General features: G+C 53.0%; 1 protein-coding gene and 1 pseudogene across 1 annotated transcript, besides 2 other annotated features; both read left to right on the top strand.

Moving 5' to 3' along the window:
- Positions 5,513 to 6,013: an enhancer, noted in NCBI's record as "H3K4me1 hESC enhancer chr16:29145325-29145825 (GRCh37/hg19 assembly coordinates)". NCBI's record gives its function as "activates a minimal SCP1, AML or CMV promoter by ChIP-STARR-seq in primed H9 embryonic stem cells {active_cell/tissue: H9 hESC(primed)}" and the evidence as "EXISTENCE:reporter gene assay evidence [ECO:0000049][PMID:30033119]".
- Positions 7,361 to 12,947, top strand: LOC124903671 (uncharacterized). The gene is made up of 3 exons (XM_047435010.1): positions 7,361 to 7,680; positions 8,829 to 8,930; positions 9,123 to 12,947. Exons 1-3 carry the CDS (start codon positions 7,599 to 7,601, stop codon positions 9,683 to 9,685), a joined length of 747 nt encoding a protein of 248 aa, XP_047290966.1. The 5' UTR covers positions 7,361 to 7,598; the 3' UTR covers positions 9,686 to 12,947.
- Positions 9,387 to 10,175: an enhancer, noted in NCBI's record as "H3K4me1 hESC enhancer chr16:29141163-29141951 (GRCh37/hg19 assembly coordinates)". NCBI's record gives its function as "activates a minimal SCP1, AML or CMV promoter by ChIP-STARR-seq in naive H9 embryonic stem cells {active_cell/tissue: H9 hESC(naive)}" and the evidence as "EXISTENCE:reporter gene assay evidence [ECO:0000049][PMID:30033119]".
- On the top strand, positions 9,769 to 10,460 carry LOC100129184 (uncharacterized; annotated as a pseudogene).
- Positions 12,948 to 17,785: the final 4,838 nt, after the last annotated feature.

Raw genomic sequence — 17,785 nt, 5'->3', positions numbered from 1 at the left:
CAACTGGAAAGCAAAATGCTTTGTTTTGCCTGAAAGACGTTCCCAGATGGCACGTTCCCCTGCGTGCACCCTCTCGGTTGCGAGCCTGAAGGCATCGCGATCGTCACCATCGTCAATCCGGATGGCCCAATCGCATCGAATCCAGCCTGCGTGAAAACACTTCACTTCTGACCTCCTTAACACCAGAGCCACCCCAGACGCCACACACTGCACTTACCCTGGAGCGAGCAGGCGTGTCTGCTGGTGCCCATCCCCTGTGGTGTGTGGCTGCAGAGGGACAGCTGCCCCGTGCCCTGGCTCCACGCCCCAGGTGTCCGCAGCAGCAGCAGCACGTTGGGGCTGCGTCTCCACGCACTGGCTGGCTCTGGGCTGGGAAGTTTCAAGTTCCAGGAGGTCTGCATTCCCTTCTCCCCCTTCACACACTTAACCCTACCTTGTCTGGTCAAGAGAGATCCAAACAAAATCAACCTTCTGCGTCAAGAGCTGTGTCCGGCTGCCTCAGAAGCACAGAGTCTGTTCCTGGCTCCACCTGGCTTTCGCCATAAACTAGAACGAGCGGCCAAGACCCTGGATGCTGCTGCGGCTTTGCAAGGGTGAGCGGGTGTTTCCTAACCCACTGGGCTTTTTTCCTCCTAGGCAGCAGAGGGGTGCACCTGCTCCAAGGAATTCGGGATGTCCAGCCCTCCGGTCTCTGTGGGGGGTCACCCTTGGTGGGGGTTCCCCTGGAGAGTTTAACACTCAGACCCCACTCCAGGCTCAGCAAGGGGGCACTGGTTGGGGGGGAATTCCAGCCCACTCCTCAATTCCCTGTGGGGACCCTTAGCCAGCCTTGGTGCTTTCAGAGCCCTGGTTTCCTCGTTCGTAGGAGATAAACAGCACCCAAAACTGAGCTGCTGCCACTGAGGCAGGCTACTGCCAGGCGGAGTGCAGGTGCCTCAGTGATTCTGCCTGCCTTCCCCTGAGCCCCGAGTCGCCGTTCCATCCACTTAAGGCGTCCTGGGCTCTTATGAGCTTCCAGGGAAGCCGAGTTACAGGAATTTAATCATGGCCAAAATTTAGCCCATAAATAGCTACTGAGAGGCTTCATGCCGGATGGGGAGATGTGAGGGTGGGTGCAGGAGGAGGCGTGGGCCCAGGAGGAGCCATTGGCACATGCCCTGAAGGCAGCAACACGCCATGCCTTCTCAGTTAGGTCTGGACGGCAGATTCGCAGCACCTTTTCCCACTTTCTACTTTCCTGTATTTTTGAAGTTTGCTACAATGAGCATACATTGCCTTTATAATCAGAAAACAGACATTTAAAAACTGTTTCAGAAGCCCGTCCTGACCGCCCCCTCATTTTCCCCAGACCCCCCTTCCATTGCTTCCACACACACTGCTGTTTTCACACTCACCTTCTGATGGGCACCTCCCACAGCCCGAGCACCCCAGCAGCCCCCTTTGCTCCCCTGAAGCAGGTGCGGCCAGTGAGGCAACGGGAGGGAGATGTGCCCGTCCTTACGGGGCCTCCGGCCTGTGTTCCCCGCGCCTACACAAAAACTGACTCTCGCTTCCAGGAAGCTTCTAGAAAGGGCCCCAGCGCTGTGTTCGGAACACAGAGACCCAGCCTGCCAGTTGGTGTACCCTCGGCCACCCCTCAATGAGGGGTCTGACCTCGAGAACATGTGGGTGGGGCAGGGTCCACCCGGGCGATGCCCTCCCCCCTCGAAGCCCCAGGCTGTCGGGACACCATCCCATTCTTTTGGGGGCTTTGTACAGGTCATCAACCCCAGAAGGGCAGGAACGGCACCCGGCTGGGAGTCTGCAAGTGTGTGTGGAGTGTGACATTCATCTCACATGCACAGAGCACACAGGGAGTAAACAATTCTCATCCTCTGGTACTTCTCTTCCTGTTTTTTAAATTGAGGTGAAACTCACTGCACATAAAATTAACGTTTTAAAGTATGACACGATAGGTGGCATGAGGCGCATGCTGTACTATGCCCTCTGTTTACTTCCAAAGCGTTTTCATCATCCCCAAAGGCCACCCAATGACTGCCCATCCCCTCCAGCCCCGGACAGCCACCCATGGGCCCCCCGTCTCCGCAGACCCACCTGCTCTGCCATGACACCAAGGACAGAGGGTCCTAGAGGAATTGAGGGGCTTGCTGTCCACTTTAAGTGGAGGGAATTCTTTTTCATTCCTTTATTGTCACTAAAGGTTGGATTTCAGAGCAAGCACTCAAGCGCATGGAGGAAGATGAGGGAGGGAAGATGGGAGGAGAGTGAGGAAATGTGGGCATCCAGTTCCCTGGCTGTGCTCTCAGGGGACCCCAGGGGACCACCTGCTTAACAGGCAGATGCCTCTGTGTGTCACCATCAAAGTGAGGACATGGCTGAGCCCAGTTAACACTCAGGGCGCCCATGCGTAGCTGGAGCCTGTGCAGTCTCTTGGTGACAGCAGTGACCACATGGCGTCCTCCTGTAGGGACCACGTGGCTGGCTTTTATTCTCTCTATCCTTGGGCAGAAAGAGGAGGCAGAAGCGATGAGTCCTGCCCTTCTACCTTCGAGCAGGTCAGAAATGTTTTCATAAGATAAAGGTTACAACTGAAAGAAACAGCAGGTCTGGGCATAAAAATCCTGCGTTTTCAGCCTCGAGTGTGTGTGGGAGAGTGGGAGCTCAGGGTGTCTCTCCTGGGGGCCATGAAGCAGGAACAAAGGGCTGTGGGGCTGATGCCAGCCCCACTTTACATCCGTGTGCTGGGGCTGCTGCAGCAAAGTGCCACAAACCAGGGGCTCCATGTGACAGAAATTCACCCTCTCCCTCGCTGGAGGCCAAGTCTGAGAGCCAGTTGTTCCAGGGCTGTGCACCCTCTGAGGGCCCCGGGGAGGCCCCTTCCGGCCTCCTCCAGCTCCCAGGGACTCCCGGGGTGGGGTGGGGTGGGCAGCTGCATGTTCAGAGCTCCCAGGTGTCTCCAGGGCTCAGCCAAGGCTGACACCCTGGTTTGGTGCTAGGACTGATTAAGCATTTTGAACAAAGTACTTCCTCCACGGGGCAGACACGGAGCACACCCCTGGGTAACGGCATGTCCAACTTTTTAGAAGAGTCACTGGTCAAACACTGGCCACCCAAGTGAGAATCAGTGAGATTGCAAAGTGGTTGTCATTAGTGAGGGTGTCAGATGGCCTGGCATGTTTAAGTAACCAAAAGCAAGTCCTTCTCATACCTCGCATGTTGGAGGGGACATGCCAGTGCTGGTTAGAATTAAAACCCAAAGCAGGTCATTGATTCTGATAGGAGTGCCCTGACTCCAGGATCATTAAGAAGGGTTTCAGGGAGGAAAAACAGATGATATTGTCTGTCCCTGGTCCAAATCCATGGTGCATCCCCACTTCCATAGGAATTCTATGCAGGTCTTTTACATGCTGCTATATTTTATATCTGTTGCTGTGTTGCTACACACCCAAAACTTAATGGCTTAAAGAGCAAAAATCACTTTTTATCTCTCACAGACTGTTAGCCAGGAAAGTGGGAAGTGTTCAGCAGGGTGGTTTTCCTCAGGGTCTCTCATGTGGTCTTATGTCAGCTTGGGGTGCATCACCTGAAAGCTAGACTGGGGCTGGTGGCTCCCTCACGAGGCGGGTGGGCTGGTGCTGGCTATTGGCTGAGGGCCGCAGTTACTCTCCAGGGCCTGCCTGATGTCCTCACAGCATGGTGGCCAGCTTCTTCTAGAGTGAGTGAGCCAACAGGCTAAGTGGAGGCTGCCATGCCATTATAATCCAGCCTCAAGGGGAAGTCACATGTTGCCCACAACCGTACTCTATGCTGACCACACAGACCAGCCCTGCTGTGTGGGAGGGGAGCACACACAGACAAATACAGGAGTTGGGGGGGGTCACTGGAGCCATCTGGGAGGCTTGCCACCATCACCTGTCCTGTTCCCTAAATGACCTGCATCCCTGGGTTTCCTATTCTCAGCTTTGTGTGCCACCTTGAGGGGCCGGGAATGAGAAAAAGTGTTTTCAGACAGAAAGCATCTCTTTCATATTTAGCAGCCCTTCCTTTAGTTTATCTCTTCCCTCTCTTATTTTATTTAAAAGTAGCAAGAGGCCAGGTGTAGTGGCTTATGCCTGTAATCCCAACACTTTGGGAGGCTGAGGCAGGTGGATTGCTTGAACCTAGAAGTTTGAGACCAGCCTGGGCAACATGGCAAAACCCCATCTCTATTTTATAATATTACTATTTAAAATAAATAAATAAATAAAATAAGGTACAAGATATGCCACCCTCAGTGCCCTCCTTACAAAGCTTGCTAGCTTGATCATTCAGCTCATTGGGCCACTTTCCACATTACTGCAGGCCATGGTCTTGCTGATAGAATAAGAGCCCCTATTTCTGGAGGGGTTTGACTAAGCATTCTTGCCTGAAAGTCTCCTGAAGCTGTAGTCTTGCATCAGCTGGAGTTGCAGTCTCATTTGAAGGCCTGACTGGGGCTGGCCTTCCCAGGTCACTCCTAGGTCACTCCATCACACACTGGCCAGTGGTGCTGCTGGCCAGAACTCAGTTCTCTCCAAATGGACCCTGCCGTGAGGCCACTTGAATATCACAGCATGGGGGCTGGCTCCCCTCGGAGTGGATGGCCTGAGAGACCAAGACAGAAGCTGTGGTGCCTTGTACAGCTCAGTCATGGAAGTTACACACCATCAGCTCTGCCATGTTCCACAGGCCACACGCATCAGCCCTGAGTCAATGTAGGAAGATGATAAACCCCAGGAGGCGTGGGTCAGTGGGTTCATCTTGGAGGCCACAGAGCTGTCTCAGCATTGTCCCAGAGGGGGATTTGGTGACAGGGCCAAAGGGATTCCAATGATTCAACCCAAGAATGACCAGTTTAGACAGGACTGATCAGGCTAAGATGACGAAAGGCCGGCTGACATGAAAACATGGGACAGGCCCTGGGCAGAGTCCCTGGATTGAAGTCTCCACCCCAGCACTTCCCACCTGGGGTTTGGGCTTCATCCATTGACAAGGCAGAGATGATAGTGAAACCCAGCCTTCTCCCACCCATGTGCTGGATGATCAAAGGAGCAAACAGAAAAAAAAAAAAATGAAAGTGCCAAAGAGTCACACTATTATCATTTATTTTTGTTATTAGAATGATAAATCCCTTTAGAAATAAACAGCTTTCTTGGATATAATTAACATACTATACATTTCACCTATGTGAAGTGCACAATTCACTAGTCTTTAGTCTATTCAGAGTTGTGTGACCATCATCATTATAGAATAAGGTCTTACTGATGCTTGAGAGATGATGATGATGGAGACAGAGTCTGCTCTGTCCACCAGGCTGGAGTGCAATGTTGCTATCGGTAGCTTACTGCAGTGTCCACTTCCTGGGCTCAAGTGATCCTCCTGCCTTAGCTTTCCGAGGACTCCAGGCATAAGCCACCACACACAGCTGAATTTTTTTTTTTTTTTTTTTTTTTTTAGTAGAGGTGAGGTTTTGCTACGTGGCCCGGGCTGGACTCGAACTTCTGACCTCAAGCGATCCTCCTGCCTTGGCCTCCCAAAGTGCTGGGATTATTTTTAGACCACAATGAAAAGTTCCAGTTGATGTTACAGGAAGCGAGCCAGGGAACACTTGACCCCCAGGCTCTAGGAACCATCAAGATCAAGCTAGAAAAGGGCATCGGCAAGAAGGGGTGTCTGGAGGCGTCAGGGCTGCGCTGTCTGTGCGCGGAGAATTCCGCTGTGTGGAGCAGCTATGCTCCCTTAGGGGTGGCTGGGTATGAGGGCTACAGCCTGTCCTTGAGGGTCCCACCTCTTCCCCAACTCCCAAGATTCAGGGGGTGGGACTTCCCCTGGAACCCTGGAAAGCAGGGAGCACCGACCGCCCTGGATGCCAGGAAGGAGGGAGTGATGCTGCCTTTGGACCCTGAGAAGGAAGGAGCATTGCTGCCTGTGGACGCCGGGAAGGAAAAAGCACCAGCCGCCCGTGGACCCTGACAAAGAGGGAGCATTGCCGCCCGTGGACCCTGGGAAGGAGGGAGCATTGCCGCCTGTGGACCCTGGGAAGGAGGGAGCATTGCGGCCCGTGGTCCCTGGCTGCGTGCCCTCCCCTTGTCTCCTCCACCCAAGAGAGAAGTCGAAGCTCTTTTTCCAAAGCTCTGTCTCCCCCACCTCCTCCAGCTTCCCTCTAAGAGTTCCTGTTGGTGTCCGCCCCCAGTCCACAGTCCAGGAGCCAAGAATTCGTGGCAGACCCCGAGCCACAGCTCGCCAAATCATTCACTCATTGTTAGACATCTGGGGTTTTCAACTTTCTGTTTTCATGAAGGACACGATAAGTGCCCCTGGGCAGCGGCTCCTCTGGAGCTCCAGTCCGAGAACCTCGGGGGTGAAATTCTGTTCTCAGCTCCGCCCCTGCCCAGGCCGCTCTACCATCCCATGAGAGGCTGGAGTTGGAAGCCCCTTGACGTCCCGGCCTCCATGGGCATGAGCATCCCGAGCACCCAGACCTCGGCTTCTCAGTACCGTGTTCCATTCAAAGTGGCCAGGACTCCTGGGAGAATTGGCCAGCTCCAGCCTGGGCACGGAAAACACCAGAGGCTTGTAGGAGATCACGACCCTCCAGGGCTACGAGGCCATGTCTGAGCACTCAGGAGCCTGCTTGATGTGGAGGGTGGGGGGGGGGGGGGTGGTGGGAGCTGACAGTGCCAGGAGATGGCCTGGGGCACAAGCGGCCCCACAGCTCAGGCTCAGACAAGCAGCTGGAAGCCTGGTGCGCGTGGATGTCCCCATGGCTTTAAAGGACGCCCCACAGAACACGGATTAATCATAATAGAGAGAAAGGACAGCGTTGCAGGGGAGGCTGCAGACACGGCATCAATTAAACCGTCAGCGTTCACGTCACCAGAGACCGCCCAGGGTGAGATTTTACACCTGCCGCCAGGACACCTGCAGAAGCGCAGCCTCACCCCCTGCTGTCCCCGCCCACCCAGGATCTCATCACCAGGAATCCAAAGGCAAAGCAGTCCGAGTGCCCACAGCACGGAGGGGCCAGGAGCCTGCACAGGCTGACAGAGATGGAGGAGAGACGGCGGCTTGGGGAAGGGCGTGACACCATCAGACTCTGCTCTCAGAAACTCGTGGGGACAGTGGTCAGGCTGCAGTGGGGCCTTGCAGGGACCTGTCCATTCCCTGATTCTGACGATGCTGAGGGCTTGTGAATGTCCTTGTGTGCAGGAAACACACCAAAGAGCCTGGCTGTGTGGACCACGGTGCAGCCCAGCTGCGCACACTGCGTTTCCTGTACCATACTCGGCACTCCGGCCTTGCCTGCGCACTGCCTGAGTCTGCATTATCTCTGTGTGTAACTTGGCCCCACCCCGGGATCCGGGGAGGCTGATCCCCCACGGGCCTCTCCCAACCTGAGCAGCGCCCTCCTGGCCACTGTCCACTGCTGCCTGAGGCCCTGCCCCAGCAGAAGGCACAGGCTGGGACAGGCCTGCAAGAATGGCCAGGAGGGGCCTCCCAGGGTCGAGGCATCTGAGCAGCACCCTGCAGGACGGGCAGGCCCCTCATGCCCCGGGCACCTGCACAGGGCCTGCGATCTCATGCATTCGAATGGTGCCGAATGGGCCAGGGTGTCCTGGGGGATCCTGTCGGGCGCCCTCCTCAGCTCTTCCACTTTCCACAGTAAGTACTTCGATAGTATGGCTCATGGTCACCCCAAGTCCCCGAGAAGGAAAGAGAGTGACGCCATGGAGATGGGAGGTCGGCCCTGCAAAGGGCACCATAGTCCTGGGCACTACTTCTCCTGGGGAATGGGGGCTTGGGCACCTTCTTCTCCTCCTTCCTCCCTCCCTCCATCCTCCCTCTCTCCCTTCTTTCTCCCTCCCTCCCTCCTCCCTCTGACTTACACCCCCAAATTGCCAGTATCGCCCCCTCCCCAGTTGCAACAACCCCAAACATTCAGATATTGATTTGTGTTTCCTGCTTGGGGGCAGAATCACTCCTGTTCCAGCACCGCTGGGCCCCCACATTCCCCCACGGGCAGGGACCCACCTCACTCCCCCCACACCCATGAGCCCACAAGGCTCTGGCCCCCACCCCCATGGCTGCTTGGTGAAATGACAGCCCCGCTCTGCTGAGAGCCGGGGAAGAGGAAGGGGCTGGGGCAGGGAGTCCAGCTTGGGAGCCCTGTGAGCCCCTCTAGGAGCCTGGCCCTGGCTGGAGAGAGCAGCACTGGGATGAAACCCACTTAATTCATGGCGGCACAGCATTGCCATCTGCAGCACTCGTGCTAAACTCCATCAAAAAGCAGACGCAGGCTTTCCTTCCTGGCTCCGCAGCCCGGGGCCGGAATCAGCTACGCCCACTGCACCGAGATCAGCTTTGAAAAGTCCCCATTGCAGACGTGCGGCAAAGGCTGGAGTAAGCTGGAAGCTTTGCTAAGGCCGCTCTGCTGTGATCAGCCTGGCCTGGGGCGCCCTGAGGGATTCCTGAGCCGCCTCCTGCACCCCTCCCCGTCCTCCAGGATGAGGCCCTCATTCAGGCATGCCTGGCCCCTGGAGGCAGAGAGCCTGGGACTCCATGGAGAAGCCGTGCCCTGCGCCCACTCGGCCTGGATGGGAGCCCGGGCCCTGTGTGGTCACACCCGGAGGTCCTCGCCTGCAGCGGCGGGGGCAGACTCTGTGGGGGCACCCCCTCCTCCAGCAGGGCTGGCCCCAGTGGGGTGGGAGGATGTGGTGGAGTGCGTGACCTCTGGAGAAGCTTGGCCGGAGCAGCCCTGGGGGGCAGCCAACTGCTGGGCAGGGGCTCCGGTGGCCCATTTCCCATGACAGGCGGCCTGGCCGGGAGGCAAGCACAGTTCCCACTACTTGGTCCCAGCTCCCCAGCTCCGGGCATTCAGATGGGCTCGTGGCCACCAGGCCGTTGGGTCCAAGGTGAGTTCCGGGCATTCAGATGGGCTCATGGCCACCAGGCTCTTGGGTCCAAGGTGCCCTGTTGCTTATTCCAAGGGTTGGCAGCCAGCAGGGTCTGAGGCCACCAAATGGGAAACGTGCCCCAACTCAGACCCCCTGGCCATGGGCAGGCAGCCTCGGCTCACTCCTCTCCTCTGGGTCCTTCACCCGCAGTGAGGACTTGGTGCCCAGCACCTTCCTGTGCAAGAAGTCAGGGAGTTCAAGACGAGATCAAGGCTGATCCAGGCCTTGCGCGGCTCCTGCTCACAGGATCCTGGGGACCGTTTCAAGAAGAGCCTCAGGACACGGAGAATGCTCAGTCTCCTGGCTCTCCCCGCCAGGCAAGAGGGCCCGGGGGTGGAGGGAATCCAGGGGACACAGTCCTCACCCCACTGTCAGCGCCAGCAGACCCCAACACTCATCCCCCAGCCCCAGGCACACAACCCGCCCTGCCGCCCCTCGCCAGGCCCTGCCGGGTGTCCACCCTCTGCGGCAGCAGGTTGGGGAGGAGACGTGCTGGGGAGGGGCCCAGGCCTGGGCGGGCGCTGCCCTTCCTTTCACTCCCCTGCCAGGCAGTGCCTGCGCCCACCCTCACCCCCACCCCCCCTGACCCCCCGCGGGCTGGGAGGAAATGTAATGAGCGCAGGGCGGTGTCTTTGGTGCTGCTGGGGTGGAGTCAGGGGCCAGATCCCATCGTGAATTTGACAGAAAAGGAAATGGGCTCCGAGCGCAGGTGAGGCTCAGCCAGGGCTCCGTGGCTCTCACCCAAGAGCTGAGCTCCAACCTTCCTGGCCCGGCTCCGTTTCCCGAGCTGTGGAAAATGCCTGTCCACCCGGATTGGCTGGGTAGTGCCTGCCTCCCCCACGCCAGTCCTCTGTGGGAGGGTTGCTGGTCTCTGTTAAAAGCCCCCCGGGTGACGTGCATGCTGCCAGGGCCTGTGCCCCCGGTAGACACTCTGGGGAGGGGCCACCACAAGGAAACCTCAGTCCAAGCTGTCCAGCGGAGGCTGGGCATGGCTGTGCCAGCACAGGAAGGCAGGTAGGGGTCTCTGGGGCAGGCAGCTCTCCCCCTGGCCCAGCCCCCTGTGTGAAGTGCTCAGCCTGGGTAGGAACGTGCTTCCCACTCAGCCTCCTCCAAGCCGCTGGAGGTCCCACTGGTTCCCCAAATGGCTTCTGTCCTGAGCCGTGGGCTCCTGACCACGCATCTACCTTGCACGGTCTGAACAAGAGTCTGCGCCAGGGACCCCGATCGGGAGGGGCACAGAGGAAGCCAAGGGCCCACACAGGTGAGGGGGTCTCGGGTCTGAGCCTCACCCAGCCCAGGCTCAGCAGCAGCCTCAGAATTTCCTGGCATCTGCTTGCCTGTGTTGCAACCCAAGTGGGATGTGCACGCCGCCTGAGAGAGAAAACACTCGGGGAGGATTATGTAAGCGCTTTCCTCCCCAGCACAGGGCCGTCCTGGGCACATTGAGGCCAGACCATGTGCAAAAGCACTCGGGAGAGTGGCAGGAGCTGAGCCACCAGAGGGGGATTAACCCCTTCCGGGATGCTGGCAGCTTGTCCTGGGGAACATGGGGCTGGTCAGGATTGCAGGACACGGAGGGGCGGAGTGTGAATGTGGAGGCACCGGTGCTGCGTGATTTTCCACAAGTTGTCTAACCTCTCTGTGCCTTCATTGCCTGACTCGGCTGTTTCCAATGCAACTGATTTTAACGGCACCTGTTTCATGAGGCCACAGCCAGGATTCTGGGAGGCAAAGCACAGAAAGCCCTCAATGCGGTTTCAGGCTCCAGGCAAGGCTCAGCTGACAGTAGCTGAAAACAGCAATTTCAGCCGCAGAGTTGCCCGCCCTGTGCACCACAGAACGAACAAGGGTTTCCAGCTTTGCTCAGATTTGTGGGGACCACTGGGTTTGGACTTTAGGAAAAGCTCATTTGCCTTTAGGCAGAAGTGACCGGAGCTGGGGTCACCTGAGGTCTGGGCAGGAACCTCTCGATGGCTGATGCAGGACCTGGGGAGGGGCCATCTGTGTGGGGCAGCTCTGGACTCAGACCCGTGGATACCTGTGAAACCTGTCAGGCTGAGCCACCATCCAGCAAGTGAAGAGACCGCAACTGGGCCACTGTGGAGTCACTTGGCCACCACCCCCGGGTCCTCATAGCCCTCATGTGTGTCCCAACCGCGAGCAGGTGGCCGACAGTGCACCCTGACAAGGCACGTGTGTACCATCGGGGACACCTGCTTCTTTAAAGTGACCGGATGGTGCCCAGGACCACAAGAACCAGCCTCGTGGCAGGGTGCCCAGCCTCCTTCCCCCTCCACTGTTAACTTTTTTGCCAAGATTCCAAAAACGAAGCTGCAGCTGAAAATAATTTCTTTTTCTTCTATAGCCCAAATGACCGATGGTGTAGAGATTTTCCCATCATAGAACTGCAGTCTCCATTTGTAGTAGGCCCAGACAGTGACATGTCTGAGGTTGGGGTGCCTTGGGGCCAGAGCCCAGAGGAGAACCCACATTGGCGTCCTAGTAATGTGAACCCTCATAAGAGCTTCAGGACAGCAGAGGCAGTGGAGATGCCGGCGGGCAGGGAGAGCCGGCCCGGCCAGCCCCCTGGGAATAAGCTTCAGTCCTATTCTAACTCAAAATCATAAACCTCATCTCAGGCGGCTGCTTGTGACTCCAAGAGACCACCAGGCCCCGGTGATAGCCAGCACAGTACCTGGCACATAAATCCTGCCCACCTGCCTGGCGTGGCTGGGAGACCCGCCCGGGTGCTCTCTGTCTCTCCCTCCCTCTTTCACTGCTCCCTGAAGGCAGCGTCTAAAGAGGCTGAGGCTGTCCTGTCACTGCCCCGACCTCTGAGGAGAAGCCCGCGGCTGTCCTGTCACTGCCCCGACCTCTGCGGAGAAGCCCGCAGTTCTGATCACGGACCTCAGATGGGGAAGCGCACAGGAGGCCTCGGGTGGCCGGGCTGTGCTGCTTCTCCCTAGACGGGCAGAGCTGGCGCATAGGAGGTGCTTCACAGGTGACTAAGGAGGCAAAGACCCGAAGCCTGGGGGACTGCAGTGTCCGGTGGATCCCAGCTGCGGCCATCGGGCCCATGGGTGGGAGAGCCAAGGGAGGGGCTCAGCTGGGCAATAGGATGGGAGTGGGCGGGGGACACTGCTGGGAACTCCCTTCACTGCATGGCCAAGACTGTGCATAAGCGAACAGGGCGGGAGAGCTGTGTGTCGCCTCGGGCAGTCACTCAGCCTCTCCGCCCGTTTTCCTGGTCTGTAAAATGGGCCGAAATGCCCTCCCTGCGCTGTTCTTTGGGCAGTTTCTATAAATGCTTGGCCCAGCCTCCCCGGCACACGGTTGCTACCTGGATCACTGTTCTGTTATTTTCATCCCTGCCCCTGCTCTTTGCTTAGACCGACTTCCCCTGACTCCGGTGAAATCAGCCTCCACAGGCATTTCATCAGCCCTTGTTCGTCCACAACACGGCTAGGCAGGTGTGCTCAGGGGGTCTGAGGCTTTCACAGACGTTAAATGTATGTCCCTGCAGGAAACAGGTTTCTGTACAGCCCCAGAGACTGTACAGAAGGCTGAGGCCATCTCTACTAAAAATACAAAAAAATTAGCCGGGTGTGGTGGCAGTTTTTCTTTGTGACAAGATATAGGTAAGATTTCTGAAAGACAGGAGCTAGTAACATGTTCTATTTCTTCTGATAGCAGTTTTTTCCTAGTAATTTGTCAATTGCATTTAACGTTTCCCACTGACTTTTGAGACAGCCTCAAGTTTTTATGTCTGAAGGGTTCGTAGATTCTGACATTGTAATTTGTCCCTGCTCTCTTTTCTCTGACTAGTGTACCAGGGCTTTCTCAAGTGTACTAATCTTCTCAAAGAATCCAATTTGGTTTTGTTGGTTGTATCTACTCTACGTTTTGTGCCTCATTTCCTTAATTTTTCCTTGTCTTTAAGCTTTTCTCTAATACAACTGTCGATGTATTCCCCGAGTTTTGATCAATTTGCATGTGTCATTCAGTTACAAATACCTTCACATGTCCAGTTTTCTTTCTTATCTGACCTAGGGGTTATTTAAATGTTTGTTATTTAACTCCCAATCATTCAGGGATTTTTCTACTTTTCTTCTCATTAATTTTTGCCTTAATTCCATTTGGTCACAAAACACATTCTGCAAGCCCCCATCCTGTGGCATTGAGGTGGCTTCACAGTCTAGTGGGTGGCAATTTGGAGAAAAGCGTGTTCCCTGAGGTTGCTGGGCGTGACATTCCTCACACGTGACTTGGGTCACCTCAGTCTCCCGAGTTGCTGGGATTACAGGCCTAAGCCACTGTACCACGCTAAAGATTAAAAAGTTATAAAAACATGATCTAACAAAAAATACCCAGGGGTAAAAATAAATTGGCATTAAAATTTTCTTCCTAATAATCTAATGAAATAAGCAAAACTGAAAATAAAACCAACTCTCCAAATAACCACTGCACCAGAGAAACAGGACTAACCTAATGTAACAAACTTTAAAACCTCGTTGCTAAAGAAAGAAAGAAGCTTCTAGCTTCTGGCAATTGGCTTTGAGAGGCTCCAGATCTAACTCCTTACGCTGCTCTCCCCAAGGAGCCACGCTTGTGCTCCGACAGAGATCTGTGACTTCCACCCAACAGTCCCAAATCAGAGGGCGAGCAGGTCAAAGACGGGTGTGTTTTCTTCCTCTTTCCTAGAAGCTACAGAAATGACTACCAGTGAGAGAGGGAAGCAGTGTCAGGACTGACTCCACAGAAGTCAGCACTCTGCAACAGCACAGGATGCAGGGCTCCTAGGCAACATGTTTGGGTGAAAAGCCGCCCAGGGCCCTTCGCATGCTCAGAGGACGCAGCGCACCGCCGTGCACCGCATCCTGGTCTCTTAACACCAGGGCCCTCCAAACACCGCATCCTGGTCTCTAACACCACATCCTGGTCTCTAATGCCAGGGCCCTCCAAACACCGCATCCTGGTCTCTAACGCCAGGGCCCTCCAAACACCGCATCCTGGTCTCTAACGTCATTTTTCAATTCACGGAGAAACGGCTGATTCTAGGCTGGGACAAGTACTCACAATGAGCCCGGAGAAGCATTTGGTAGTGCTGTGCAAGTAAAAAGTGCTCAGGCTGGGCATGGTGGTTCACATCTGTAATCCCAGCACTTTGGGAGGCCAAGGCAGGCGGATCACCTGAGGTCAGGAGTTCGAGACCAGCCTGGTCAACATGGTGAAACCCCGTCTCTAATATAAATACAAAAAATTAGCCGGGTGTGGTGGCACGGCCTGTAATCCCAGCTACTTGGGAGGTTGAGGCAGAAGAATTGCTTGAACCCAGGAGGTGGAGGTTACAGTAAGAGATCGCCCCATTGCACTCCAGCCTGGGCAACAAGAGCAAAACTCTGTCTCAAAAGAAAACAAGAAAAAAAAAAAAACACTAATGATGAAACACCTACAATGAAGAGGGAATGGAGGAAATGTCAAGGGGCACGGGAGCCAACTGACGAGCTGCCAATGGCCAAAGCTGGAAGGATGTGAGCACCAGAATGAAGCAGAACTTGATTCTAACCCAGAGTGTAAAATACATCTCCATGAGCACACACTGATGGAAACGGATGAGTGAATAAGTGAATAAATGGGAAAGAAGAAACAAGGCTCCCGGGTAGACTGACAACAGTATCTGTGATGCTCCACCCTCGAAGAGGCGGCACACAACTCCCCACTCCTTAACTGGGTGATGGGCATAGCAGCTTCCTTCCAAAGTGCAGGATGAAAGCTGAAAGAGTCACTTGACTGTGGAAAATGCTGAAGAGCACACCTCAGCCAGGTGACCTGCATCAGCATTAAGCACTGAGTCCTCCTGACAGTGCTGGCCTGGACAGGATGTGATGAGAAGGACTTCACCTCCATGTCCTCCCTCCCCAAAACCTGTGACCCCAGTCTAGTCAGGAGACAAATTCCAACAGAGGCACATCCTACAAAATAACCGACCCCAACGGTCCTCAAAAAGTCGCCAAAAACAAGGAAGCATGAGAAACGGCCACAGATCAGAGGAGCCCAGGGAGGCTTGGCCGCGGAGCATCCTGTGGACCCACAGACATGGAAACATACAGTGGGTACCATGAGGAACAGTGTGCGGACACACTCTAGAATTTGGGGGAAAAGAAAATAATCTTGAGAGACACAAACAACACTAACTCAAGAAATTCTACATTTATCGAAGTTCTTTTTTTTTTTTTTTTTTTGGGGGGGAGTCTCATTCTGTCTCCCAGGCTGGAGTGCAGTGGCACAATCTCAGCTCACTGCAACCTCCACCTCCTGGGTTCAAGTGATTCTCCTGCCCCAACCTCCTGAGTAGCTGAGACTAGAGGCACCCGCTACCACACCCAGCTAATTTTTGTATTTTTAGTGGAGACGGGGTTTTGCCTCATTAGCCAGGCTGGTAACGAACTCCTGACTTCAGGTGATCCACCCTCCTCAGCCTCTCAAAGTGCTGGGATTATAGGCATGAGCCACCATGCCTGGCAGTTCTATATTTATTAAAATAATTGAATTTATTATTAAAAACCTAGGCTTCACTGGCAAATTCTATCAAATTGTTTAAAAGAAATAAAACTAATCTCACAGAAACATTTTCAGAAACTAGACAATGACAGGCAGCTTCCCAGCTCCGTTGCTGAGGTCAGCATTATCCTGATAACAAAAAGACATGGCAAAAAAAGAAAACTGCAGACTAACATGTCACACAAACACAGACGCAAAAACTCTTCATTAAATATTAGAAAACTGATCAGTATAGCAAAAGCACAATACACGTAGATGAAGTCAGGTTTATGATAATAGAAATGCAAGGTTCGGTTAGCATTCGAAATCGACGTAATTCACTTTAACAAAAGAATCAAGAAGGATCACAATACCATCATCTCGGAAGATACAGAAAAGGCATGTGAAAATCCAATGTCCATTCATTCATGCGAAAAAACTCCCATGAAACAAAGAATAGAAGGAAACTTCTTCAACCTGATTAAGAGCATCTGGGAAAAATGTACTGGTAACATCAGACTTAATGGTGAAATGCTGGACGCTTTCACTCAAAGATGAGGAATAAGGCAAAAATATTTTTATAAAGAAAATACACTGAAATAAAGATCATGGCCAGCACATTAAAGTAAGAGAAGGTATAGAAATTCTACAGGAAGAAACAAAACTCTATTTAAAGGTAACATAATTATGCATATTTTTAAAAAATCCTACAGAAAATCTAAAACAAGTTCATTTAGAAATGACACAGGATAAAGGTCAGTAAAGAAAAATCTATTGTACTGCTACATCCTTCCAATGAACAACTGGATACTGAAATTTAAAATACAATACCATTTATGATAGTATCCATAAGTATGAATACGATAGCATCTGTAAGTATGAAGTACTCAGAGATAAATGTAACAAAATATGCACAGGAGCTGAACACTGAAAACTGTATAACACTGCTAAAAGAAATTAAAGACCTCCATAAATGGAGAGACATACCATGTTCATGAATCAGAATACTCAATACTGTTAACTTGGCAATTCCCCCAAATTGATCTACAGACTCAATACAATGCCAATCAATGAGTTCTGAGTTATTCTAAAACTAGAGAAGTGCTCCAAATTATTAGAATGTGCATAATCATTACAACATTTAAATGTATGTTTCTCATTAGTTTGGTTATTAGATTGTATCTCTAAAGCATATGATTATGTTAATAATTCCCAAAGTTGTATGTATGTAAACTGTATCATACAATTATGTGACTAATTCCCGAAGTTGTAGGTATGTAAACTGTATCATACGATTATGTGAATAATTCCCGAAGTTGCAGGTATGTAAACTGTATGTTTTCTTTGGCTAGTACTCAGCCCTAGCATGTAGAGGGTGTCACTATTAGGTCACTCAAAGTATGCAGCTGGCTGGGCGCAGTGGCTCACGCCTGTAATCCCAATACTTTGGGAGGCCGAGGCAGGCGGATCACAAGGTCAGGAGATCGAGACCATCCTGGCTAACACGGTGAAACCCTGTCTCTACTAAAAATACAAAAAATTAGCCGGGCATGGTGGCGGGCGCCTGTAGTCCCAGCTAGTTAGGAGGCTGAAGCAGGAGAATGGTGTGAACCCGGGAGGCGGAGGTTGCAGTGAGCCGAGATCGCGCCACTGCACTCCAGCCTGGACGACAGAGCGAGACTCTGTCTCAAAAAACAAAACAAAAGTATGCAGCTGTGCAAGGCAGTATAGACCAGTCAGGAAGAGAAATTACATGTACACGAAATTAAACGAAAGCAACCAAAATTCAATATTAAATAAGAAAAGAATTAAACAAAACCATCTTAGCTGAGACCAAACCATTTCTTCACAATTCACGCAGCTCTCCCTTGAGTTTGTCAGATTCTAAAGCCTATGAAATGCTATAATTTTGACTGAGAATGTCAATGACCCACAACTGAAAAAACTGGTTTACCCTGGCCAAGACCTCTCATGCTCCCGTGCCAGAACAGAGATGCTCAGAATGAGGCCTAGCTCTACATAACACCACAACAGCCTTTCCACAAATATCTATCAATAAAATAGATAAAAGACCCTCTAGGAAAAATAAAGGACCCTCTAGGAAATAAAATAAAAGACACTCTAGGAAATAAAACAGAGAATCAGCAGACAGCATACTAGAGAGAATTAAAATCATTCCTTAATCAAATATTTCAATTATCCATGGGTCAACAGTCAGTTCTGAGGAAAAGAAAAATTTCTCCTTCATTGGGTCTTACATGACACATCTCTGG

This window comes from Homo sapiens, chromosome 16, assembly GCF_000001405.40.
Source record: "Homo sapiens chromosome 16, GRCh38.p14 Primary Assembly".
Classification (NCBI taxonomy): domain Eukaryota; kingdom Metazoa; phylum Chordata; class Mammalia; order Primates; family Hominidae; genus Homo; species Homo sapiens.
Note: the sequence above shows the minus strand (reverse complement) of the source record. Positions and strands in the feature narration are given on the sequence as shown.